At 45.9% G+C, this 27,130-nt stretch overlaps 1 protein-coding gene across 20 annotated transcripts in view, besides 4 other annotated features; it reads left to right on the plus strand.

The window, feature by feature from the left end:
* RIN2 (Ras and Rab interactor 2) overlaps window positions 1-27,130 on the plus strand; it is a 244,858-nt gene that overhangs the window by 200,309 nt on the left and 17,419 nt on the right. For 18 of the 20 annotated variants that reach the window (XM_047440212.1, XM_047440213.1, XM_017027888.2 and 15 more), the window contains 4 exons: window positions 2,793-2,904; window positions 7,045-7,117; window positions 12,931-13,022; window positions 16,747-17,880. In XM_047440212.1, the coding sequence (XP_047296168.1) occupies window positions 2,793-2,904; window positions 7,045-7,117; window positions 12,931-13,022; window positions 16,747-17,880 (1,411 nt within the window). Of the gene's footprint in view, window positions 1-2,792; window positions 2,905-7,044; window positions 7,118-12,930; window positions 13,023-16,746; window positions 17,881-17,963; window positions 22,226-27,130 lie in introns of those variants that run through there. The other 2 variants (XM_017027893.2, NM_001378238.1) reach the window with 2 other exon arrangements.
* Window positions 102-833: an enhancer, noted in NCBI's record as "H3K4me1 hESC enhancer chr20:19938653-19939384 (GRCh37/hg19 assembly coordinates)". NCBI's record gives its function as "activates a minimal SCP1, AML or CMV promoter by ChIP-STARR-seq in naive H9 embryonic stem cells {active_cell/tissue: H9 hESC(naive)}" and the evidence as "EXISTENCE:reporter gene assay evidence [ECO:0000049][PMID:30033119]".
* Window positions 834-1,565: an enhancer, noted in NCBI's record as "OCT4-NANOG-H3K4me1 hESC enhancer chr20:19939385-19940116 (GRCh37/hg19 assembly coordinates)". NCBI's record gives its function as "activates a minimal SCP1, AML or CMV promoter by ChIP-STARR-seq in naive H9 embryonic stem cells {active_cell/tissue: H9 hESC(naive)}" and the evidence as "EXISTENCE:reporter gene assay evidence [ECO:0000049][PMID:30033119]".
* Window positions 22,436-22,937: an enhancer, noted in NCBI's record as "H3K27ac hESC enhancer chr20:19960987-19961488 (GRCh37/hg19 assembly coordinates)". NCBI's record gives its function as "activates a minimal SCP1, AML or CMV promoter by ChIP-STARR-seq in naive H9 embryonic stem cells {active_cell/tissue: H9 hESC(naive)}" and the evidence as "EXISTENCE:reporter gene assay evidence [ECO:0000049][PMID:30033119]".
* Window positions 22,938-23,437: an enhancer, noted in NCBI's record as "H3K27ac hESC enhancer chr20:19961489-19961988 (GRCh37/hg19 assembly coordinates)". NCBI's record gives its function as "activates a minimal SCP1, AML or CMV promoter by ChIP-STARR-seq in naive H9 embryonic stem cells {active_cell/tissue: H9 hESC(naive)}" and the evidence as "EXISTENCE:reporter gene assay evidence [ECO:0000049][PMID:30033119]".

Here is a 27,130-nt window from a genome sequence, read left to right on the forward strand (position 1 = left end):
GTGTACAGTGTCTACTTCCAAAGGATAAATACAATAAGTCACAGATAAAATAATACTTAACACGCAACACAAGATAGAAACTAAGAACTAGATGGAGAAGCAAGGAGAAAATCCCATTAGTAGCTAGCTGAGGAATGTCATAAGAATTGGGCACTAAATACCTTTTTGAGTTTCCTAGCAGTCAGAGTCTGTCTGTTCTCACTTTTTAAAAAACATATGAATCTTTCTTTATTCCTCATCAGGCAGAAACAGGTAGAACTAAGACGTCTGCTAGAACATGCTCAGGGGAACAAGGCACGGTGCTTTCTCATCTTTGCAGAGAATCCCTTGGCCATAACACAGAGCTGCTGCCTCTAGTTTTGTTCTATAGGATCAGGATTTCCTCACCTTCTGTGAAGCCTAACTTTCAGCCAGTTGAATTGTCTGCTCTTGCATTTCTGCAAAACATTCCAAAGACAGAAGTTGCTGCAGAGCTAGGCAACAGCCTGCCCAGCTCCCCCTCCCAAGGTAGGGCACGTCCACTCTTGCTGAAACCTGCATGGGAAACAAGCCAGGCATGTTCTCTCCATCCACCTGCCTGATCCCTGCACAGGGCCTGCCTGATGAGATTGGGCAGGTTGAGGGCAGGGCCAGGACAGGAGTAACGTGGACCAGGACAGTCAAGAATAACGAAGGGAGAGGCCAGGCATGGTGGCTCAGGCCTGTAATCCCAGCACTTTGGGAGGCCAAGGCGAGCAGATCACTTGAGATCAGGAGTTCGAGACCAGCCTGGCCAACATGGCGAAACCCCGTCTCTACTAAAAATACACAAGTTAGCCAGCCATGGTGGCACGCACCCATAACCCCAGCTACTCCAGAGGCTGAGGCAGGAGAATTGCTTGAACCCAGGAGGTGGAGGTTGCAGTGAGCTGAGATTGCACCACTGCACTCCAGCCTGAATGACAGACCAAGACTCCATCTAAAAATAAAATAATTAAATAAAATAAAGAAGAGAGAGAAAAGCAGGTGGCTAAAAGTGTGTGAAAAAGGAGGATTTGAGAGACTGGCCATGGTGGCATGAGTGAAGTGGGCTCTTGGGGTGCCCATCCTTAATTATTCTACAATCTAAGATAGAGGTCCACAGACTGTTTCTGTAAAGGGCAAAGTAAACTATTTTTGGCTTTGCAGGCCATAGAGTCTCTGTCACAACTACTCAACTACACTATTGTCATGCAAAAGCAGCCATAGACAATATGTAAATGATCGAGCGTGGCTGTATTTCACTACAACTTTACTCAGAAACAGATGGCAGGATGGATTTCGTCTGCAGGCCAGACTTTGCCAACCCCTGATATAACGTAAGGCTGCAGTCCTCCAAAAAATAAGGCCTAGAGGTTGCACTCCCCAACCCCAAGGCTCAGGGAGATCTCCACTTGGAAAAGGGAGTGTTACTTCCTCTCCTAACAACCAACAGCTGCCTCTCCACAGTGCTTTGGCCTCTTACCCCCCTGGATGCTATTTAGGAAGCATCTGCTTCAGTTTTAGGGTGTCCCAGAGGCACTGACTCCCAGAACCTGCTACTGGATGAGTCCTATGGATGCATCCCCATGGTGCCAGGAGAAAAGAGAACTCACGGTCTTCCAGCTTCATTCTTCACCAGATACCCAAGTCCCATACCCATCTTCCCACCCCCCAAATAAAGTATCTTATGAGATATCAACTGGAGATAAAGAGAGGAGCAAAGATTAGGCAGGGAAAAAATGAAAGGCTATAGAAAGGTAGGGGAGAGAATAGGTAGAGAGTAAGGTGTTTAAATGCAGAGGAAAGAGAAGTAGCTAAAGAAGCATGACAGACAGAATAGGAGAAGGGCCATGCTCCACAGAAGGGAACCAGGACTCAGCTGGGCTGCCACACGCCATACTCCAGGGAGAGTCACTTCATTTGTAGGCTAGGTGAATGGTGCCTCCTGGAGTTGTGCAGTGCACGGCCTACACAACAGTACACAGCATACTTAACTCTGCAGTGATGAGGGACAGAATGGTGTCCTGAGATCAGCACTAGGAATTGAACTGTTTTAAAGCATGTGTCTAAAGACAATATTAGGATCTTGAGGGAACTGGTAGAATGTGAAGTGAGTCAGGAATAAATGGACAGCCTCCATGTCCACCGGGGTGAACTTCAGAGTGCATCCACCCACCACCCAAATGGAACAGCCATTTTTCAGCTCCAGTAGATTGTTGCCTGGTCTTGCTATATCATCTCATTTTCCAAGAGGAGCTAGAAATTCAGATTTCAATTTGAAAACAAAAAACAAAGCAACTTCTGCTTTTTCACTGTTGGCCACAAACTTAAATTTCTATTGTAAATATCCTCATAAGCCAAGTTAACCAATGAAATGCCAATTCCTATGGTTTAGTCATGTTACCTGTGTTTAGAATTTAGGTTTCACCAACCAAGATATATAAGACAGGGGCTACAGAATATAACTCATATAAGACAGGGGCTGGAGACCGTAACTCCAGCAGTAAAACAGTCACTGAACTGAAAATGCTTATGCAGACTAGGGGAGTTCTTAGCCCCATGGAGAAGCTTCTGTCAGAGGGAAAGCAGGATTCTTTTGGAGGCAGTAATGAACAAAGGTGTCTGCAGCCTGTGCTCTGAGCACCCCTTTCTATGGCAGGAGAGTTTCCTGCAGGGAGCCATGCAGTGTGGATATGAAGGGATTCTATTCATTGAGTGTGAGGGAAACCAGATGCTTGGGTTCCAACATTCTAGATATTTCCTAAAGCTTGTATTTCTTTTCCCTCCACTAGATCTTCCTGGTTCATAAATCTACCAAGATGCAGAAGAAAGTCCTCTCCCTCCGCCTGCCCTGTGAATTTGGGGCCCCACTCAAGGAATTTGCCATAAAGGAAAGCACATACAGTAAGTGGTCATTGGATGCTCAGGTCCTGACTGACAGGGCCACGGGGCTCTGCAGGGAGTGGAAATGGAAGGAGCTCTGGTTATGAGATGGGCAGATATGGGCCTGAGTCTTGGCACTGAATGACTAGGCAGATAACCTACTCCAGGAGCCTCAGTTTTCTCATCTGTGTAATGGGATGATGGTAACCTCTGAGATGTTAATGAGTCAAACAACCTGAATATAAAGTGTGCAGCCTACTGCATGGCATATGGTAGGGAACTAATAGAGGTTGACTTCCTCTCCCCCTACCCAGTTAAGTGGAACATGAATTCAGTTCCCAGGTTTGCCAGTGACTAAGTTGCAAGGAGACTGTAGCGAGAGAGCCCTTTCACGCTAATCCTAAATCCTAAAGCATGTGTCTGCACTTCTTCGTGAATAAATAATCCCTGAGCAGACCTGTTCCCTCCAGGCAATCAGTGTTCAGTCTTCTATGAAATGCAGCTAATCAGAGGCAGAATCCAACCTTTTGATGAACATTTTGAAGGGAGAGTGGTGTTCAGAAGTGTTGGTTTTCTTTCTGCTGTTCCACGATTGGTCATTGGAAATGTGAAGTGTCGGGAGGCCAAATTTTAAATAAAAAAGGGAACACCCAGTTCTGATGTACTGCCAGCCTCCAAGAAAGGATCGGAAGATGGATCTGCACATCAAAGGGGGAGGAGTGGGAGGAGCAGGCCAGGAGGAGAGAGCTCAGAAGCAAGACAGAGCCTGGGATTCCCACTTGCTTCCCGATTTCCCAGCACCTCACCTCCTGCATTTGGAGAAGCTGAAGGTGTAGATGAAGGTCAATTTCAGGGCCGAGATGAGATTCTACTCAGCCGGGAGGGCACAATCTTGCTGAGCCAAATGACCATTAACTGAGTTAGGGGAGGGTAAAACCTGCCAGGCTGACTGTGAACCGCCTCCAGCTCAATTGTCAACCTGGATCTTACAAGTCCACAAGGTCATGGATGCCAGGGAAAAACTTCCCCCTGAAAGGCGCACAAGCAGGCGGAACCCAGCCAATAATGTAAATACATTAGGATGCAACCAGAAGGTACATTGCAAACCCACTGCTTGAAAGGTAATAAATTCATATTGAGCTAATAATGTGTTAGGTGAATTGATAATGAATTTATATTAAGTGAATCAATTAAGTAATTCTGAATTGGCTTTTGAAAGTCTGCGAGAGGCTGGGCACCATGGCTCACACCTGTAATCCTAGCACTTTGGGAGGCCAAGGCCAGAGGGTTGCTTGAGCTCAGGAATTTGAGACCAGCCTGGGCAACATGGCAAAACTCCATCTCCACCAAAAAAAAAAAAAAAAATTAGCCAGGCATGATGACACACGCCTGTAGTCCCAGCTACTAAGGAGGCTGAGGTGGGATCACTTAAGTGCAGTGAGCCGTGATCGTGCCACTGCACTCCAGCCTGGGCGACAGAGCCAGACCGTGTCTTAAAAATGAAAAAACAACCCAAAAATATTAAAAAAAAAAAAAGTCCACAAGGCAAGAAGCCACAGATCTAACTGGTTTTCAAATTCCTCCCTAATGTCCAAAGTGGAGCACGATGGATGTGTTGGTCGGAAGCCACTTCCTCTCCTCTTCCAGAAGTGTGGGCAATGTGTGTGGAAGCTTCCTCGTTGTTCATTGAGGTCCTTGTGGCCGAAGGTTTTTCCCCCATAATTTGACAAGGCCTCTAATCACTTCCCTAATCTTCTCCAGGTGACTTCAAGTGGTTAAAAGAGCTTGTTTAAATAAAGCATTAGCCTGGTCATAACTAGTTACCACAGGCCTGGGTCCCACTGCAATGGCCCCTTCTCAGCCAGGGCCTGTTTATCTTCTCTGTGAATTGAGGTGAAGGAAGGACTTGCTATAAAAACATTCAGGGAGGCTGAGGTGGGCGGATCACTTGAGGCTAGGGGTTCGAGACCAGCCTGGGCAACATGGTGAAACCCCGTCTCTACTGAAAACACAAAAATTAGCCAGGTGTGGTGGCGCAAGCCTGTAATCCCATCTGCTCAGGAGGTTGAGGCAGGAGAATCGCTTGAACCCGGGAGGTGGAGGTTGCAGTGATCCGAGATAGTGCCGTTGCACTCTCCAGCCTGGGCGACAGAGTGAGACTTTATCTCAAATAAATAAATATTCAGATATTTTGTCATAACTTACAGACAGTGCAGCTTAATAATAAACAACACCTCATATTTGGAAACAATGCTTTCACATAAATTATTTCATTTTTAAAAAATTTCATCTCCCCCCACCACCCTTCTGGGAGATAAGGAAAGTACTGTTAGGGTCCATTTTCCAGATGAGAAAACCGAGGCTTAGAGAAGCTAACCTGCTCCAAATCAGTTCCCTCCTCCTTAACTCTACAAATTGTGGCACACGTGTGTTTGTTGTTTCTGTGTGTCTGTGTGTGTCTGTGATGGTATATGTGTAGCGGTATGGATGTTTTTTGGGGGTGCTACAGAAATAATAAAATAATACAAAAAAGCGAAGAAGCAGCCGGCGCAGTGGCTCACACCTGTAATCCCAGCACTTTGGGAGGCTGAGGTGGGCGGATCGCCTGAGGTCAGCAGTTCGAGACCAGCCTGACATGGAGAAACCCCGTCTCTACTAAAAATACAAAATTAGCCAGGCTTGGTGGTACATGCCTGTAATCCCAGCTACTTGGGAGGCTTAGACAGGAGAATCGCTTGAACCCGGGAGATGGAGGTTGCAGTGAGCTGAGATTGCACCATTGCACTCCAACCTGGGCAACAACAGCGAAACTCTGTCTCCAAAAAAAAAAAAAAAGGCAAATAAGCAAAATAAATGAGGGTATGAGTGAGAAGAAACACATCGGATTGAGGAAATCTTCATAAAACAGGATATTTCAAATGTTTAGAGGAATATCAGTGTGAGTTGCTCAGCTGAGGTGGTGTGAGGGCTGGCTGGCAAATTCATGAGTATTTGAAGTCAGACTACTTGCTGCTCCAGCATTTGGAAGATGTGCAGAATGCCACACCATCTTGCCAGTATGTGTCTTTTTTTTTTTTTTTTTTTTTTTTTTGAGACAGAGTCTTTCTCTGTCACCCAGGCTAGAGTGCAGTGGCTCTATCTTGGCTCACTGCAACGTCCACCTCCCAGGTTCAAATGATTCTCCTCCCTCAGCCTCCCAAATAGCTGGGATTACAGGTGCATGTCACCACATCCAGCTAATTTTTGTATTTTCAGTAGAGACAGGGTTTTGCCATGTTGGCCAGGCTGGTGTCAAACTCCTGACCTCAGGTAATCCACCCACCTTGGCCTCACAAAGTGCTGGGATTACGGGCGTGAGCCACCATGGCCGGCTCAGAACATGTCTTCTGTGTTAGAAAATGTGAACACTGGAGCAGGGGTGGAGGGGGGAACAACACTCCAAGTAAATGGGTTTTAGAATCTTTGTTTTAAAAAAAAGTGAGAGAGAGAGAAAAAAAAAAAGAGAGATGTAGTCTCGCTATAATGCCCAGACTGGTCTCAAACTCCTGGGCTCAAGAGATCTCCCTCCTCGGCCTCCCAAAGTGCTGGGATTACATGCATGAGGCACCATGCCCGGCCAGTTTTGGAATCTTTCATGTTGAATTTAACCAAAAGCTGATTTCAGGGAACTTGTTATATCCTCCCAGCTCTACATTCCTTCTCCCGTGTGCTTTTATCACAGGTGCTCTGTTATGGCAAAAAGGAGTGGCCAGGGAAGTGTGTGTCCTAGGAGGGTCAAGGGATCGAGGGGAGTAGGGGTCTTGGTGTTCCCCAAGCCCTGTCCTGTGCTGATACAATCCAGACAGACTGGCCCCTTGTCCCCTGCCCTTTGTGTTCTGAAGTTAAAAAAAAAGACAGTTGTGCAACTCGAGTCTGTCCTGGTCTGTTTACCAAGCACTGGAGCATGTGCTCGGCATGAGTCAAGCGATGAACTTCCAGATCATCGACTGTTTACCGGTGGCTGCTGGCTGACATGCCTCCTCTGCACAGCTGGTTCTGATAAGCCACACGGTAGTTTGTTTGAGAGTACTCAGATGGTCCCACACACATGGTGTTAGGGGCTCTTCCTGTCCCAGAACGTGCTCAGGGAGAATCAGCTGGTTTCTGAAATCTCTTTTCCAGCCTTTTCCCTGGAAGGCTCAGGAATCAGTTTCGCAGATTTATTCCGGCTCATTGCTTTCTACTGCATCAGCAGGTAAGGCCTCTTCCTCTCATATGGTTTCAAGGCCCTGTTTGGTGTGTGGGATATAATTAACCTGAGGTTTCTTGAAGGATCTAGGAGGCTGGCCACCTATTTGATGTTGGCAGATTAAGACTGGTTACTTAAGTAAAATGTTCACCAAGTGAACAGGTTCACCAAGTTCACACCATGCCAGGCTTAAGGTCAAAACGACTATCCCAACCCCTCCAAACATAAATTATCCTTCATATGATTATTTCTTCAAGCTGCTCCCAAGGCTCCTTTCAGCCAGGCCCATCAAGCAGGAAACACACACACACGCACATATGTGCACACATGCACACACAGACACACATGCACACACATACATGCGCACACACACCTACACACAGAAAGGGAATGTGCATGCAAACCTGTGACTTTGAAAGCTTCATGATAATGCCTCTGAAAACTCTGTAAGGGATGGAGTTCATTCTACAAATGTGGGTTCCTTAAACCAGCCCATCAGTCTTGTCCTTCAGGCCAACTGGGTGCTCATGTCCTTTTCATAACCAAAGCAACTATTTTGTTCTATACAATGTTAAGTCCAAAATCAGTTTTTTGTTTTTTGTTTTCTTTTTGAGATGAAGTCTCACTCTGTCACCCAGGCTGGAGAGCAGTGGCGTGATCTTGGCTCACTACAACCTCTGCCTCCTGGGATCAAGCAATTCTCCCGACTCAGCCTCCTGAGTAGCTGAGATTACAGGCGCCTACCACTATGCCTGGCTAATTTTTGTATTTTTAGTAGAGACGGGTTTTCACCATGTTGACCAGGCTGGTCTTGAACTCCTAACCTCAGATGATTCACCCACCTCGGCCTCCCAAAGTGCTGGGATCACAGGTGTGAGCCACCACGCCCCGCCCAGAATCAGAATATTAACCAGAGTCAACAGGGTGTGCATTGTGAAAGGCTTTCTTTCTTTCTTTTTTTCCATTTTTTTCTTACTAGCAATAACAGTTTTTTCACATCAAGTGTTTTTTCAGTAATTAAGAATCAAAATTCTTGTTATCTGCAGGGATTGGCATTGCCTCCTCTTATGGGGCTGAGCTCAATTTGGCTTCCTTTTCTTCTCTGTCCATGGCAGCTGATATGGCAGAGACAGGAAAATGTGTTACTAGGATGTTTTCAGACATCACTTCTCACAGCTAACACACGTATAGGCTGGGGAGTTTATTTGAGTTTGGCTCGGTTTATTTTAATTTAAGGATTAGGTTGTTTCTCAAAGACTAAATGCCTGTTGACTAGACTCTGCCAGAGGGCAGGAGGCACTACGCACTTTTTTTTTTTTTTGAGATGGAGTTTCACTTTTGTTGCCCAAGCTGGGGTGCAATGGCGTGATCTCGGCTCACTGCAACCTCCACCTCCTTGGGTTCAAGCAATTCTCCTGCCTCAGCCTCCTGAGTAGCTGGGATTACAGGCATGCACCACCATGCCCAGCTAATTTTTGTATTTTTAGTAGAGATGGGGTTTTACCACGTTGGCCAGGCTGGTCTCAAACTCCTGACCTCAGGCAATCCGCCCGCCTCCGCCTCCCAAAGTGCTGGGATTACAGGTGTGAGCACCATGCCCGGCCAGGAGCCACTAAGCCGTTCACCCTCTGAAGTCTCCAGGTCAGCTGAAGCCACACAATAAATGGCCTCAGGAAGGGGAGGCACTTCCAGAGGAGGAATTCAGCGCTGCTCACCAGCAGGAAGAAAATGAGGGCTTCACTGAGAATGGGACTAGTACCTGGGGGCACCTCCCAAGAGGATGCAACCTGCCTGCCATGATTTGGGCAGGATCTCTTAAGCCTGTGTAAGGAAATGAAATGTGCTGCCCAAAGAGAGGAGGCTGGTGCAGAAGCACAGCCCCCAACAGACACACACACACACACACACACATATATACACACTCATCCCCAGGGAACCACACCTGGTATGGCCTAAAGCCAACCAGGTTGGAGGAGTAAGTCTCAATGCTAACACGTTGGCCAGGGGTGAAGCCAGCTGATATTTACTTTTCACAGTTTGCTTTTTGGTAATTGTGGAGTTGCTGGGAAAAATCATTACACCTACAAAGCAATATTTGGCAGTAGCATAGAAAAGTTACCATCAGTGTTCATGGTAGACTGGAGTACCTGCTGTCCAGGACTGTTTGAAGATGCAAGGAGATAAAGTATATGAAAGCCTTATAAACTATAACACATGATACCAATATATAAGGTACTTACAGGAAAACTCCAAAATTGATGTTTTGCAGGTAGGAAGGCCAAGATTAATTTCCCTGTCTGTTCCAAAATGCAAAGATATTTGATGTTTTTGTTTCTCTTTCTATGCTACTCATCTATGTTCTTGGCAATTGGTAGTTGATTTACTCAGTCTTACAAGAATATTTGTGACATTTTTTAGTTGGTTGTTAGTATATAAATATATTCAAGTAAAGAAAGTGATTGGATTATTGGTTCTGGTGTTTCACACAGCATGCATATGCAAATATGCATTGCACAAGAGAATTCACGAATCAATAAACATAGGATTTGCCATAGTGGGAAGGCTCGCTGAAAAGTGTCATTGAGAATACAAATAGTGACTGCACACCTTCACCCCCAATGCCTGGCAACGCTCTGTTGATTTGGTGTTATCAGTGTAGTAGTGAGAGTACTAGAGTCATTTGGAGTCTTGCTAAATGCAGAATCCGGTACAGTGGGTCTGGGGTGGTACCTGAGGTTTTGCATTTTCAGCAAGCTCCCATGGGTTAAGGCTAATGCTGCTTGTCCTCAGACCGGAATAGAGGAATAGAGGAAATAATAATTTTAGGGGTCTTCTATATCTGTACTAAGCACCATACATACATATTTCTAATCCTTATGGCAACCCTATAAATTAGGATGATGAAAACACTGAGACAGAAAAAGTGAAGCATGTGCCCACAATCATTCAATCAGTAAATGACAGTTACGGGAGTTGAACTCAGGCCTGCCTTAATGCCAAAGCCCGTATTTTCCCACCATACTATTCAGCTGCTGAGACCTTAGGGTCCAACACATCCAGGTTTTGACCCTCACTTCACCTCCATTAGCTCTGCGAAGGTGTGCTAGGGACCTCACTTGTCTGTGTCGTCATCTGCTCCTGATCCACAGAATGGGGGCATCACGGCTTCCTCCCAGGGCTGTTCCAGGCCCCACACGAGTTACGGTGCCTGCTGTAATTTAATAGTAGTTGCCCGATGATCTTTGTCCCCTCCCCTTTAGAAATCTACGTATAGAGCAAAGTTAAACAAAATAAATCTAGACTGTACATGTTTTAACTCTTGGGTGAAACATTTATATCTAAGATGATGGCTTTTGTTTTTCTGTTATGCAAGCTTTAGAATTGAGGCCCCTTTCTTTAATAGGATGTAAGTGAGAAGGCGTCCCTGTGTGAGTGTGTGTGCGTGTGCATGCATGTGCATGTGTGTGTGCATGTGTGTGTGAAGATGCTGGGATGCACCCTGGCTGGCACAGTGGGAGACGATGCATATACAACATCTAATTTTCTAGTAGATCAAAGCCTGAAACCATCCATTAACCAAGGACAGGTGTGGCTTCCTGTCATATATCATTAAGAAAACCCCAAACCAGTCATGTGACGTTTAAGCTCCAGGTACTGCATTGAGCAAGGTAAAAGCTTAATATAAACACAGGTTGGTTTTGTGGTATGCAGCTTTCCCCCAAAATTGTCTGAGGAAAGTAGATTTTAATTAAGTTGGTCCGGCCACACAAACATATATTTACAGTCTAGTTTGGTGTTACAAGGTTGTGGTTCCCATTAATCTTCACTTGAGATTAGCATCAGGGTTGCCGCCCTGCCAGGTCAGGCAGCAGCTATTACAGACACAGCCATCCCCTGCAGTGCTGCCTGCTTCATCTCAAACAGACACAAGTGGCCAAGCAAAGGGGGTGCTCACAACATTTGAGGACAAGTGAAAGGTCTCATGGAAGGAAGAGGTGATATGGGCCTGACCCCCAAGAACAGCAGCCTCCTGGCTTTACATTAGCAGAGTACTACGGTGTCAAAACATTCTTGCTTTTTTCTTCTTTTCATTGACTTACTAATTTGTTATTCATTGTTAACAGCTTCCATGGCTCCAAAATTCTCCAGTCATCCAGATTTAATCTGGTTTATCCAAGAATGTTGCCTAATTTTACCGTAAACAATAGGTTGTTTGGTATCATTATTCTCGTCAGTGGAAATTCTCAGCACGTCTCATGATGACAAAGTCCAGGCAGGACTCCAAGTTTTGTTCCTTACTAGCACCTTCCAGCCGCAGTGGTCTCCTTGCTGTTCTTCATCCATGCCAGACCCTCCCCACCCCAGGGCCTTTGCACCTGCTGCTCACTCTGCCTGGAAGGTCCTTCCCCTCATGATTTAACCCCTGGCCACCATTAGATCTTCAGTCAAATGCTGCCTGCTCACGAAGACTTGTCTGCCCACCTTCACACTCAAACACTCTTTATTCTCCTTTCCTGCTTCACTTTTATCCATGTCATGGATCTCCTTCTCATAGATTCTGTAAATTGTGTATTTGTTTATTGTCTATCGGTATCCCCTGACATGGAGCTCCATGCAGGCAGGAACTTCCGTCTGTTTCGTTCCCAGCCCCTGATGCAATGTCTGGCACATTGCAGATGATCATAAACATCTGTGGAACAAATGAATGAATAATTATTTCTTTGTAAGACTATTACCACCACTGGAAAAAAACAAACAAACAAACAAACCCTCCTTTTTGATTAAGTCACCATATTTATTGAATATTCATTCATTCATTCAAGTACTTCCTGCCTGTCTGTGTCAGGACAGTGTTGTGCTTTGCCCTGTGGGGAATTCACCAGTGCTTAGAGCATGGTCCTAACCTTTGTGAATGAACATGAGCAAATGTTTAAGTCTGCCTTTGCCATTTCCAAGAAAGCAAGTCATGGCCCATGGCTGTGGCAGGTCCCTGATGCTGGCTGGGCTCTCTCCTGTTGGGTCTGTTGCTCTCTCTGCCATGTGTGTTTGTCCATCTGCACGTGGCACCATGCTGCTTGGGTGCTGGGGTTATTGGCATGAGGGGTCTTAGACTTGCTTTCCTATTCAAAGCCTGGTCCAGGGTCCAGCAGCATCAGCATCCTCTAAGAGCTTGGCAGAAATGCCGAATCTCCAGTCCCTCCCAGACCTCTGGAATCAGAGTGTGCAGTATAACAAGACCCTGGGTATCTATCTGTACATTAGAGAAGCTCTGCCTTCAAACACAGGAGAACGTTTTGTCTCCAGCACACCAAGGCCAATGTGTGGGCTGTAATGGGAAGATTTCATAAGTAAAGCCAACAGATATTCATTGAGAGCCTGCAGTGTGCAAGGCAATGGGCTAATTCATCTCGGTTTAGGATTCCACATTCCTGCCCAGGCAGTTTCGGCCCAACATTCACATAGGCATGCAGTGAATTAGTACATAATGTTTTATATGCATGCTAGATCTACCAACAAGTCAGCAATTCTGATGTAAACTCTACATACGTTTTAGCTACTCAGCAGGGCAATTGGGTCCCTACTTTGATACTGAAACTATGCTGGTTTTTCTCTCAGCCTGTCCTGAGTGTGTGATAATACAGACAGGAATTTTAAGTGTTAAGTTTTACCACCAGGAAAGATAACTTTGTCGATATGGTATGGTGTCTACTTAGGACATTTTAAACAGTTTAAGCTAAAACATCTCTATGATGAAAATAAACACAAGATAGAAAGCAGACATGTAATTACAAACATTCTCTCTTTTTCTGAACAATCAGGGATGTTCTACCATTTACCTTGAAGTTGCCTTATGCCATTTCAACAGCCAAGTCGGAGGCTCAGCTTGAAGAACTGGCCCAGATGGGACTAAGTAAGTGTGTGCCCCCTGCCTGAGTCTATCTAAAAATGAATCCATGGAGCAGAGTCAATGGTGGGCTCACTGAGGCTACATTGCTCCGTCAATCTCTCCAGCTTCTCCATCAGTGAGTTTGGGCTATCCAAAATGTTGACGTCCTCTTGTAAACATCTGTAACGTGTTGATGTCTTCCCTTTCTGAGGCATCTTCCTGGGGAGAGGCAGCACTTGACAGAAAGAGAAATCCAGTGTAGTGCATCTCGCGTGCATGATTTTTTTTTTTTGAGGGGCACACGGGCATTGACGGCACTTCTGTGCTTTGAGGAATTTGACAGCACAGACATCTAGAGTAACGTCTGTTCCACTTCCTCTCTTGTCGTTCAATTGTTGTCCTGCTGTTCTGGTCCATGTCCTAACCCTGCCGGGGATCCTTGGTCTGGCAGCTGGGTACTTGCTTCCCCGTCCTGTCCCTTTGCCGATGTCCCCTAAGTCCCCACAATTCTGCCGGACAATGGTTGACAATGGATCAAGACATACAACTCACCCACTTTAACGTCTTTTCCCCATTGCCTTGGGGGAATCTGTGTGGGTTTAGCTTTTGCAAAAAATGTTCCTCCTAGATCAAAAGAGGAAATTCTCTTAAGATTTTAGGACTTCACTCACTGTGATACTTGACCCAGCAAATAAAAGATGTATGTATTCCTCCTCTGGCATATTTTTCTCTTAATTTAAAGAACTTGTTTTGAAGCAAGCGCCATTTCCAAGGAAGCTTCAGCGAGGAGCCTGGGCATAGCTTTGAATTCCCTTCTGCTGAAACTGCAATTTTTTTTTTTTTTTTTTTTTTTTGAGAGGGAGTCTCGCTCTGTCACCCAGGCTGGAGTGCAGTGTTGAGATCTCAGCTCTCTGCAGCTTCTGCCTCCCAGGTTCAAGCGATCCTCCCACCTTAGCCTCCCGAGTAGCTGGGGTCACAGGCACTTGCCACCACGCCCAGATAATGTTTGTATTTTCAGTAGCGACGGCGTTTCACCACGTTGGCCAAGCTGGTCTCGAAATCCTGACTTTTGGTGATCCACCCGCTTTGGTATCCCAAAGTGCTGGGATTACAGGCGTGCGCCACTGTGCTCGGCCATGAAACTTAGATTGTATCTGTAGAAGGATTGCCTTCTGTGTTTGAGGCCTGTCTGATGGCAAGACTGGGTAATGGGATTTGGAAAGAGAATACTGGTAAAACTCTCGGGCCATAGAAACGTCCCTATTTAAAAGTTGCACCTTCTCTTGCAACTAAGTTCTGCATACCTTTGGAGAGAGATTAAAATACTTGCTGAAGTTAAGTCAATATTGTCAACTAGATTCTAGGCCTCTTGAAGATGTGCACCGGGTCTCAGTTCTCTCTCCCGACCTCTGTCCACATAGCTCCAGTCTGATGGTCCACAGGCTTAGTGAGTGCATAGTGCTGAGTCTGAAGGACTAAAGTGTCAAGGACAATGCTTGTGCCATGCCGAGAGAGGTGAAAAGAGTTTGCTCCAGTGGCTACTAACCAGAAGCGACTGAGGGCTAATTAACATATATTCGACTTGTGATTCTCGATGTGCATATTATCCATTTTGCGTAGAGATAGAATATTTTAAAATTCTGTGCCTCAGTAAAAGTACTGTTCATCAAACTAATATTCCTCGAGGGTCTGCTTTGTGGCAGACACTGTGCCCCAGACCAAGGACTCAAGGGTTAATAAGATCCCCTCTCACTCCCTGTGCCTGTACCTACTGCCAATGAGATTTGTAGTTTATATGGGAGATAGATATACACGTGAACTAAATATACAAAGCCTTACAAAAGATTTACAGCTGTGACAGTATAAGTCTAAGGAGGACTCAAAGGAGGTGGAAGTAATTTCTCCAAGACCTGCTGTCCTGGGTAATAGAAACATAAGGCTAATCTGTGTGTAATTTGAAACTGTCTAGTAGCCACACAGGTTAAATTGATTTTAATAATTTATTTTGTTGTATTTAATATATCCAAAACATTATAATTTCTACATGCAGCCAATATAAAAAATTTTAAGGTATGAAATGTTTTACATTCTTTTTTTCATATCATGTATTCGAAACCCAATGAGTTATTTTATACTTACAGCATATCTCAAACTCAGGCCCTGAATGTTTGTCAGAAATACATGGTTTGTATTTAGATTTCATTAAATTCACAGTTAAAAAGGTAGATTCTCATAACCAAGTTCCAAAGATACTTAAACGTTTTCCAGTAACTGAACTGAACATGAGTTCTAAAATTTAAATTGATTGACACTGAATGAGATTTGATATTGACTTCCTCGGTTGTACTAGCCAACTTCAAGTGCTCAATAGCCACCTGTGGCTGTTGGCTTTCTTGTTGGACAGTGCGGGAGTCGGGAGAGAGAAGGAGGGATACAGGATAGATTACATAAGGCAGGTGACACGGCTGTCACCACACAGACAAGGGAGAGCCAGGACTCCCAAAGGGCTTCATCTCAGTCCTCCCATGGCCAGCCATTCTGGGCCCATGGGAAAGAAAGACACTGCAAAGCATAGCTAGAGATAGAGAATAACCCATTCCAGGCCAGGCACAGTGGCTCACTCCTGTAATCCCAGCACTTTGGGAGGCCAAGGCAGGTGGATCACCTGAGTTCAGGAGTTGGAGACCAGCCTGGTAAACATGGTGAAACCCCGTCTCTCCTAAAAATACCAAAATTAGCCAGGCGTGGTGGTGTGCGCCTGTAGTCCCAGCTACTCGGGAGGCTGAGGAAGGAGAATCACTTGAACCTGGGAGGTGGTGGTTGCAGTGAGCCAAGATCGTGCCACTGCACTCCAGCCTGGGCGACAGAGCAAGACTCCGTCTCAAGGGAAAAAAAAAAAAGAATAACCTATCCCAAATGGAAATTATAACAGGCACCACTGATCACAGCACTACCTCCCTCAACTTACATGGAACACTGAGACTCATCTGCAAGAGGAGACACAGGCAGTACAGATCAATAAGCAATCTGCACTACTTCGCAGAGCATTGCATATTTATGAGCATGGTGAGGAGGTTATATAGGATTTGGGAAGGAGGGACTCCAAACCACAAAGGTAAATGGTTGGGCCTGCACTGCACATTAAGCTTGCTGTGGTTTTTCTGCTGATGGGACCCATGAATGTAGTTTTCCTCCTTTGGTGGTTTTAATGCTGAATGTGTAAAACCCTAGGCAGATTGTGTAACATCCCCCAGGCCCAGCTGCTGGTCCTGCCCATTAAAGGGGAACTTCAAGGCCCGATTCCTTGGCTGGCAGCTGCACTGTGGAGGGCATCCCAGGAGAAGTTGTTGGGAAAGGGTGGTGTTGCTTTGTAAGTCGGTTCAGTTTTTGTAAAGCAAGTCAGGAAGCCCCAGTGACCTTTTTTGAGCTTATACTGGAGCAATTCCAGTTCCTTTTTTTCTTCCAACTTACCTGTGAAAAGGCAGGGCTGGAATCCTATGTTGGCCAAGCCATTTCTCCAGGGCTTTGAAGGTGACAGACCCCTGGAGCCTTCCTGTGAGCCCACAGCTGGGCCTGGCAGCCTTTCTGCCCTTTCCAGTAAAGGAATGCAGTAAACCTGAGTACAACGCACCCCCTACCCCACCCCGCAAGACTCGCGTTGTCATGCAGTGTGCTTTTTTTAATTTGTGAAGGAATGGTCTGAGTGTACCGTATTTACATTCTTGTGTTCACTGATAATGACTTTCAGATTTCTGGAGCTCCCCAGCTGACAGCAAACCCCCGAACCTTCCACCTCCCCATAGGCCTCTTTCCTCCGACGGTGTCTGTCCTGCCTCCCTGCGTCAGCTCTGCCTTATAAATGGAGTGCATTCTATCAAAACCAGGACGCCTTCAGAGCTGGAGTGCAGCCAGACCAACGGGGCCCTGTGCTTTATTAATCCCCTTTTCTTGAAAGTGCACAGCCAGGACCTCAGTGGAGGCCTGAAACGGCCGAGCACAAGGACTCCCAACGCGAATGGCACGGAGCGGACTCGGTCCCCCCCACCCAGGCCCCCGCCACCCGCTATTAATAGTCTCCACACAAGCCCTCGGCTGGCCAGGACTGAAACCCAGACGAGCATGCCAGAAACAGTCAACCATAACAAACATGGGAACGTAGCTCTGCCTGGAACGAAACCAACTCCCATCCCTCCACCCCGGCTGAAGAAGCAGGCTTCTTTTCTGGAAGCAGAGGGCGGTGCAAAGACCTTGAGCGGCGGCCGGCCGGGCGCAGGCCCGGAGCTGGAGCTGGGCACAGCTGGCAGCCCAGGTGGGGCCCCGCCTGAGGCCGCCCCGGGGGATTGCACAAGGGCCCCGCCGCCCAGCTCTGAATCACGGCCCCCGTGCCATGGAGGCCGGCAGCGGCTGAGCGACATGAGCATTTCTACTTCCTCCTCCGACTCGCTGGAGTTCGACCGGAGCATGCCTCTGTTTGGCTACGAGGCGGACACCAACAGCAGCCTGGAGGACTACGAGGGGGAAAGTGACCAAGAGACCATGGCGCCCCCCATCAAGTCCAAAAAGAAAAGGAGCAGCTCCTTCGTGCTGCCCAAGCTCGTCAAGTCCCAGCTGCAGAAGGTGAGCGGGGTGTTCAGCTCCTTCATGACCCCGGAGAAGCGGATGGTCCGCAGGATCGCCGAGCTTTCCCGGGACAAATGCACCTACTTCGGGTGCTTAGTGCAGGACTACGTGAGCTTCCTGCAGGAGAACAAGGAGTGCCACGTGTCCAGCACCGACATGCTGCAGACCATCCGGCAGTTCATGACCCAGGTCAAGAACTATTTGTCTCAGAGCTCGGAGCTGGACCCCCCCATCGAGTCGCTGATCCCTGAAGACCAAATAGGTAAGTACCCTCTTTTTTAAAATATAAAATCTATTGTAACTCTGTCCGGGCAGTGCAACCTATGTTTGTTATTTTTTATGAAGTTTACTCCGAAGTTCAAAACAACACCCAGCTCCACCTTCTCTCCCGGTTTGAATGGAAAAATCAGTTTCTCAAAGTAGCTGCTGACTGCCAGACTCAAAAATGTCTTCGGGAGTGACAGATTGGAGCTGCACAGTGATTCTGTTCAGGGATGGAGTTTGGTCCTCTGTGGGTCCAGCTGCCGCCTGCTGTGGTAACGTGTGTGTGTTACATGTGCCGGGTGTTTCTGGACGCGTGCTTCTCTGCAGGCTGTGCATACATACAAAGGTAGTTTTGTTATCTTCTGAGAGGCAGTGGGTATTTTGTTCTGTCTTGGTTGCAAGTAAACTTTTTATTGAGGTGTAGCATATGTTCAGAGAGCACAAAACTCACGTATGCATTGGAATGAGTTTCCACCGCAAGCTTACCTGTGGGACAACTACCAACCCCTGGATAAGCAGAACCTGACCAGCATCTAGGGACCCCGGGCCCCCTGTTCTCCCTCAAGGTTACCATCCTGCTGGCTCCTCATCCCATACACTTCTGTAAGCAGCACGGCTTGGGAGTAAGCAAAAACTGAAAAAGACAAGTTTGTTTTGTGTAACTTTAAAATAAGTAACATAGTTTGGAGGTCACATGAAAGGTGTTTTCTCCAACTTCAAGGGGAAATTCTTTCTTTATAATCTCATTTAAAGGATGAGTTGCTAATGGTTACTTTGGCCAAGGCAAATTTGAATTTGGCAAGCAGTCTTTTCTTCCAGGGTGAGAATGTTGAAGGTTCTTTGTTTGTTTGTTTGTTGTTTTTAATTTTAGAAGGTTGACTCTTGAAGGTTAATTTCAGAGACTTTATTCACCAGGCAGCAGGAGCCTTTGGAGCTACCAAACATTTCCAGGCGGTTCAGAAGCTACACCCCAATTTTTTCTTTCTGATTGGGTCCATTTGTTGAAAGTAGTAAACAGTGTGTGATAGAGGGCTCTTTCTCTTTCTCTGTCTCTCTCTCTCTCTCCTCTCTTTTTTCTCGTTTAAGTGATTTTCAGCAGCTCTTTGATTTTCTCACAAAGGAATCAAAGCCTTGTTTGTTTTCTTGTGGTTTGACTGAGGCCAGGCCTGGTTGATCAGGGCGTGGTTAAAGCTGGGGTGTTGCTGGAGTGAGTGGCTAAAGGAATGTGCCCTTGTGAGGTGCCTTCTAATTGAAAAAGACATCAAGGAGACAGCAGAATATCCACACAGGCTGCCTTTTTCCCCATCCCACCAGAGACCCGCTCTCAAGGGAGACCATATCTGACTCAGTATTAACAGAAACCCAACCTGCAGGAGAAGCTTCCTCTTAGGGGCTGGGGTCAGAGGGGGGTGCAGCCAGGCAGGGGCTGATGTCAGGCCTGAGCTATGTGGCCAGCGGCGCCAACCAGCCCACAGTGCCTGGCCTTCCCTCCCTGCTGATGCTGTAAGAACCAACCCAAGTTAGTCCCGGGAAGCTCTTCAGCCAGCTCCTTTTGTAGTTAAATTCGGATGTGGTACTTGCTCTTAGAACTCAAGGACTCACTCATTTTCTCCAAAAAACATGCTAAAATTATGTATTTCACTACTCTAGAAGGATGCAGCCTTTAATTTAAAATGATTTATGGAGCTTCGAGTATAAGCCCGGCAGCCTGTCCAAGCTATTCCAGTGGGTCCTCACCTCACCCCTGTGAACAGGCATCGTCATCCCTTAAGGATTGGAGGAAGGCAAGGAGGGCTCTGCCAGGCCATGCCATTTGTCTGACAGCCACACTCTCTAGTAAACTAGCAGGTGCGGTATTTGAACTTCCATTGGATCAGAAGCCCACGTTTGCTGAGCTCACTGTTCTGCTGCTGCTGCTTGTGTTTCTATTTTCTCATCAGTAGTTCAGGGGAATTGTAACTGCAGGGACAACCCTGTGTTGAGGCAGCTCAGACTAAAGCTCTCTGTTGAGTTATGGATATGGCCTCCACAAGCATTGCCATGCTTTTTCTGTGGGTTTGTTTGGTTTGGTTTTTTTAAACTTTTGCACTAAAAGCAGTCAGTTCCTCCTGTTTCTTCACCAGTGAAACAGCATTCTGTTTTGAAAGTATAGTGACAGTGCTAGGCTTTTGAAATAAAGAAGGTGAGTGGGAGCAGAGGTCAACCTGAGAAACTCATCACAAGTCCAGGTGGAAGGAAAGATGCGACCCTAACTATTAGAAAGCCAGTCCCCATAGAGGTGCACTTTATTAGATTAGGCCTCTGACCAGAACATGGACTTAGCCAGCCCACTTGTCTATGTGGGCTTAAAAACTGGTCTATGTCTGCTTTAAAAAAAAAAATCTAGTTCTATCCTCATTTCCTATAGCTTCTGAAGAAGATAGCTCTGAACTAGAAGACAGAATTCTAATTTAAAGCCTAGATTTATGGAACAACTTGAAGTCAAGAAGGTAGGAGGAGATAATACACTGGTTTAATCCATGTATGTTAGAGCAGTCATTCTTAGGTGAAAATGACCCTGTGAATGCATGCACATGTATCCCTTTAGTATATGGAGATACTACTCATCTGTCTTCTTCAGAGGGTGGTTCTTCAGTTACATAGAGAAAAGCTAATGAGAAAAACAAATAGTTCTCAGTCACTTTCCTTTTGCCCATGTGCTGGTGTCACTATCCTTTCTAGCACTTTCTAGACAAGTGCAAATGATAAACAGTGAATCAATCTCAAAACCGAAAAACTGCCCCTGTAAATGATTATGTTCTCTCATGGAGAATTTGCATTCTATTTAGACTACCCTTTGGAGCACTTCCAACCAAAAGCCCTGCTATGCAGAGGTTCCTGAATACATGTTCATTGCCTGGCACCAGCTTGGCTCTCCTGGTTGGAGAGACACGGGCTCGTTCCTGTGTGTGCCAGCTCTCTATTCATTCCAGGCCACATACTGGGCTTCCCTCCCAGAGAGCCATCACCTACTCTCACCCTTCCAGAGTGGTACATGGAAGAACAGACAAATGCTTTAATAAGAAGTGTGCAGTTTGGGGGCCCTACTTAAAGTATTGGGATCAACCTCTTCACGGACAGTGTGCTGCGCTCATTACTGATGACCCATGCTATAGGATGTAGATGGGGTGAAATCACTTCCTGCTTCAACACACGTTCCTCACTGGTGGGTGTTCACATCCCACCACTCTTGCTTTAGTCTTTTTCAACCCATGGGGGATATCCAACCAAAGTTTCTGGTAGAGAAATCTTCATTTTGCAGAACTTGTTGCAATGGTGTGGTTAGTGTTTTCATTTTAGTAAAATGATGTTTATTTCTGACTTGATGTCAGTCTTGGGAAATCCCTCTGTTTTCAAGGCTTGTTTCAAGAAAAACAAAATTTGTCCAAATCCAAACATGTTAGTAATCTTAAATTTTCTATTTCATTCAGATACTCTCCACAGACTATCAGCAGTGATACAAAAGAGCCAACTATTCATATTCCTAGAAGTCAGTAGCAGAAAAGAGACAGTACTGTGCTTATTTAAGTGCTACAAACCAAAATGTATGTTTTCTCCAAAGAGCAATTTAACAATTTGAAGAAAAAGTACCCTTAAAGTCAATTTCCACATATTTCAAAGGTCACTTCGATTTACGTATCTGAGTGTTTTTTGTTTGTTAATAGAGAAATGATACGGAAAATGTGGTTAGACACCGGAGAGTATAGCGCATATAGAAAAGGTGATTGAAATGATTCCCGGGGAGTTAAACAATCACAACTACTCTGGTTCAGATCTGGGTTTTTTTTGTTTTTGTTTTTGTTTTCAAATGAGTATTTAAGCTGGCTCTAGCTTCAATATCTAGTGTGACTTGTTTTTAATTTTTCAGGTCACAGTTTGGTTCAAGCCCCTGAGTTATCTGGGTTATTTTTTAAGATAAAGAGCTATTCTGGGGCCAGGTGCAGTGGCTCACACCTGTAATCTCAGCACTTAAGGAGGCCGAGGTGGGTGGATCACCTGAGGTCAGGAGTTTGAGACCAGCCTGGCCAACATGGTGAAACCCAGTCTCTACTAAAAATACAAAAAAATTAGCCAGGCATGATGGTGGATGCCTGTAATCCCAGCTACTCAGAGGCTGAGGCAGGAGAATCACTTGAACCCGGGAGGCGGAGGTTGCAATAAGCCGAGATCATGCCATTGCACTCCAGCCTGGGCAACAAGAGTGAAACTCCATCTCAAAAAAAAAAAAAAAAAAAAAACTCTTCTGAGAGGTGTAGCCAGGGAGGCATGTTAGTGCCAAACAGAGATTAAAACCTTGAATCTTCTGACTTCTGATCTAGTACATGTGACCCTATCGCCTGAAGGAACAAATGTCCTTGTAGAGTTAACAAGAGGCAGAGAAAAAGAAGAAAGATTGTGGTATGCAAAAGGATACCTATATTATTTCCAAAAATTAATTTAAATAGAAGACCACGACAAGAAGCACTTGGTTTTCCCCTGTGGGACATCTTTTGTTGATTAATTTTTACTTTAGGGCATCAAAATGGGGTCAATTATGTTACATCAACCAAAACAAGGTTGACACCCCTGGAGTTGTGACTCTCTGACCCTGAGCCCCTGACTCCATGACAGCCTGCACAAGGGGGCTGTTAGCTCAGTAATTCGGAAAGACCTTGCTCACAAGGTGGGTGGCGGATGGCATCACAAAATAAGTCACACGAAGATGTCTGCTCCAGAGTATTTTTTGACCATATTCCTAGAGTCTTTCTACCTCCCAGGCAGGAAACCTCACCAGGTAAAAGAGGAATTCATGTAGGAATTGAGGAATGTCACCCAAAAGACACCTAAAATGCTGCACGAATTGTGTGGCAGCATCAGGCTCTTTAGGGCACACCTATGTTTTTCCACCCCTCCACTCCAGCCAAAAGGAGGGTTCCCACTGGCTGCCTCTGTGAGGCCAGCACCGCATAGACGCAGCCCTCCCTGGTCCTCAGGTCCTACCCACAGCCTTGTCTCACTAGCTCAGTCTCTCAACAGGGAACAAATGGTGTAGACACAGCCCCCACTCTCTTCTCGCAGACACAGTATCCACTTTGGAGCTTCTCAGTTATTGTCCAGGCCCAGGTGAAGTCACAGCCACCTCCTCTGTAGAGTCAAAGCGTATGAATTAAATGCATCCCTGTTTTTAAAAGAGCCAAGTGAGAGCACTGGTAATCACTCCTCGTGGGCGGCCCTGTGTGGTTTACAAAGCACTTTAATGTATAAGAATCCCTTTTAATCCTCCGAATGCCTTGGGAGGCTCCATTTATTGCCCTCACTTCTATAGATGAAGAAACCAAAGGCGTAGCAAGGTCAAGCCAAGATGCAAGCGCGACTGACACGGTCCCTTGGCAGGCCTTGTCTATACTTCTGGTGGCAGGGAATTACCGCTGCCTTCCAGTTGGTTTTATGTGGCGGGAAGGTGACCTCAGAGGTGAAGGCACATCACACCAGAGGGTACTGCTGTCTGCATGACTCATCACTGAAATTGTTCTCCCAACCCCCTGACCCAGGCCATGTATGCCAGGTTTCTGCCCTGTAAAATTAAAGATTCCCTTCTTTCCATACTCTGTTCTTTGGAAGCAAGTCACTTAGCACTGCCCACACTCAAGGGATGGAGTAGAATTAAGCTCCACCTCCCAGAAGCGGGAGGATCTACATAAATTATTTGGAATTCTTCCATAAGGGAGATTGGTCTCTTCTTCCCTGCTTTCATTTTTCCTGGCCTTTTACTAAAAGACACTGAAATCAGGCTGATGGATTCCCTACATCAAATATCACACAGATGTAGCCCATACTTTTGCAGACTAGCTTTCCTTGAAGCCCACCAAAATGAGCAGAAACTGAAGTGGATCAAAGCCCCAGTGCTTGTTATCCTTATTTCGGCCCCTTTCCTTGCTGGGCTAATGGGATCTTCCTTAAAATCATACCGTGTCCTTCAGTATTTATTATTTATGAGCCAAAGTGTGCATGGCCAACAATACTTAAAACCAACCCAGGTTACAGGACATCCCTGCAGAGTGACAGGGTGCCCCACACCTGCCTGCCCCATGCCTGGGCGGTGATTTCATCGCTAGAGTTACACACCTGTATTCTGCAGGGTAAAGAGAAGAAACATAATTCCATGTCTTCTCCCAAAGGAAGAATTCTCTGTTAAACTTCACACTTTTGGAGTGTGTGCTGCATGAGGGCCTCATGCTGGGGACTTCAGGTGACACTAGACTGCAGGAACCCCAGTGTGGTTTTCAGAGGGCTTCCCCTCAAAGAGAGAAGACTAATTGACTCTATGTCAGGGCGGAGACAACAAAGAAAGCAGCGTGCTTACGAGGTGTCAGATGCATACAATTGCTCCTGGTGGAGACGCCACCCAGTCCTCCCAGCAACCACCCCGGGAAGCTGTGCGTGGCCCTATTTTACAGATGAGGAAGCTGAGGCTGGGAAAGGTCATCTTCTTTGACGGTCAGAAACCAGAAAGCTACCCATTCAGACTTGGCATCTGACCTGAGTGCCTCTGCAACCCCAGGTGGCCTGCTGTTTTTTTGCGTAGTTTGTAATAGAGGATTAGCAAAATGCTGTCATGGCGGCCCTGGTGTCATATTTTCAAGATCCTGCCTTCCACCCTCCTCAGCCACCAGCTCTGCTCACATAAGATAGAGAAGTTTCTTGGCTGAAAGTCAGGGGCGAGTGGTGGCTCAGAGGAAGGGCTCAGGCAGGTTTGAAGCCCTGACTCTGCTGTTCCCGACTTGTGGGTGCTTGGTCATATTTCTTAATATCTCTGTGCCTCAGTTGCCTCAAATGTAACACGGTGTTGTGGATGCCATTGTGCTGTGCCCACTGACACTTGCTTACCAGTCTGACGTCCAGCTTCCAGCACCTGTGACATTTTGCATGAGGCTTTCACCAGAGCTCTGGCCCAGGGTGGGCTAGAAAGCCTGGGGAATTGATGCCCGTCCACCTCCAGGAGCAGCCTCAACCAGGGACTGAAGGGAGCATGTGTATCCATAACCCAGCTGCCTCTTCTCCAGGGGGAGCAACTGTAAGGCATGTTCAACGCCACCTCTTGGAGCTCCCCAGCAGGGCTGAGATCCACCTGCCAGTGGTGATAACTGGCTTAATAAAGCAAACTATATTGGCTGCCTTCTCTCCCCAGTCAGTGCTTCCTGGGATCACTTCTCAAATTTAACCACTCACACTCAAATCCTTGTCTCAGGATTGGCTTCTGAGAGAATCCAAACTAAGACAAATGGGGATTATGCACCCATTTTAGTCAAAGAATTGTTTAAATACCTGTAAAGTGCTTAGTAGACATACTGAGCTTTCACTCAATGTTAGTTCTGATCCTTAATCCAATAATACAGCCAAAGGAGAATATGTTAGCACATAAAAAAAGAAAGCATCAAGTTGTTTTGCCCTTTTTGTACCAAGAGAGGTCTATGTGCCATCTCCTGACTTGTCGGAAATAGAAGTTACCTGGTTTGCATTTCTTCTCCACCATCTGGGAAAGTCACCTGACTTCCAAGCTTCATGGCCATCTGTAAAATGAATGACAGAATGACAGTAGTCCCAGCGTCGTAGGGCTGAAGTGAGGGTTAATGAGGTAATACATATAATATTAGAATAGGAAGTGCTCAAATAAATGCCCAATAAATGTTAGCAATTATAAATGTTTACATTTTCACAATTTGACTTCCCTACAAAAAAAAGGCCCATATCTTGTTATCAAACATTAGCTTCTATTTCTACTACTTTACCTTTTTAAAAAAAAATCAGAATGCTAGAACTAAAATAAGCTAAGAGGTCACATGATCTAAACTCATGGATTTTTAAATTTTAAATATGTTTATGTATTTAGGAAGTACGCATGCAGAATTCTAACATGCATATGTTGCGTAGTGATGAAGTCTGGGCTTCTGGTATACCCATCACCTGAATAATGAACATTGTAACCCAATAGGTAATTTTTCCACCCTCACCTCCCTCCCACCCTAACCTCATGTTGTATCTTTGTCAAGTAACTTTAGGTTGTAACCTGTACATTTTTTGTTTATTATTATTATACTTCTAGGGTACATGTGTGCAACGTGCAGGTTTTTTACATATGTATACATGTGCCGTGTTGGTTTGCTGCACCCATTAACTCATCATTTACATTAGGTATTTCTCCTAATGCTATCCCTCCCCCCTCCTCCCACCCAACAACAGGCCCCCATGAAGCTGGAAACCATCATTCTGAGCAAACTATCGCAAGGACCAGAAAACCAAACACTGCATGTTCTCACTCATAGGTGGGAATTGAACAATGAGAACACTTGGACACAGGGTGGGGGACATCACACACCTGTACATTTTTAATACAATCATGTGTTGTTTAACTACAGGGATACATCTGAGAAGTGCACTGTTAGAGAATTTTGTTGTTGTGGGAGCATCATAGAGTACTTACACAAAGCTAGATGGCATAGCCTACTACATACCTAGGCTATATGGTATATCCTGCTGCTTCTAGGCTACAAACCTGGACAGCATGTGACATACTGAACAGTGTAGGCAACTGTAACACAATGCTCAGTATCTATATATCTAAACACGTCTAAACACAGGAAAGGAACAGTAAAAATACGGTAACAGAATCTCATGGGGCCAGGCGTGGTGGCTCATACCTGTAATCCCAGCACTTTGCGAGGCTGAGGTGGGTGGATCACCTGAGGTCAGGAGTTCAAGACCAGCCTGGCCAACATGGTGAAACCCCATCTCTACTAAAAATACAAAAGTTAGCTGGGTGTGGTGGTGCATGCATGTAATCCCAGCTACTCAGGATGCTGAGGCAGGAGAATCACTTAAACCTGGGAGATGGAGGTTGCAGTGAGCCAAAATTGTGCCACTGCACTCCAGCCTGGGTGACAGAGTGAGACTCTGTCTCAAAAAAATAAATAAGAATCTTATGGGACCACCCTGGCATATGTGGTTCATCTTTGACCAAAACACGCCATTATGAAGCATGTGATTATATTACATGGTTTAGACTCTGGGTGTGGTTAGATTCCCTGGAGAGTATTGATTTTTACTTTGTGTTGTTTGAACAATCACCAACTCAGTTAGGTTCAGACTGCTGGCTCTGTCTTGCCTTCTGTGGACAATGATTCTGATGGCTGTCCAGACAGTGGCAGTGAGAGGGGAAGGGACTTGGCCTC

The sequence above is a fragment of the Homo sapiens genome, chromosome 20 (assembly GCF_000001405.40).
Source record: "Homo sapiens chromosome 20, GRCh38.p14 Primary Assembly".
Classification (NCBI taxonomy): domain Eukaryota; kingdom Metazoa; phylum Chordata; class Mammalia; order Primates; family Hominidae; genus Homo; species Homo sapiens.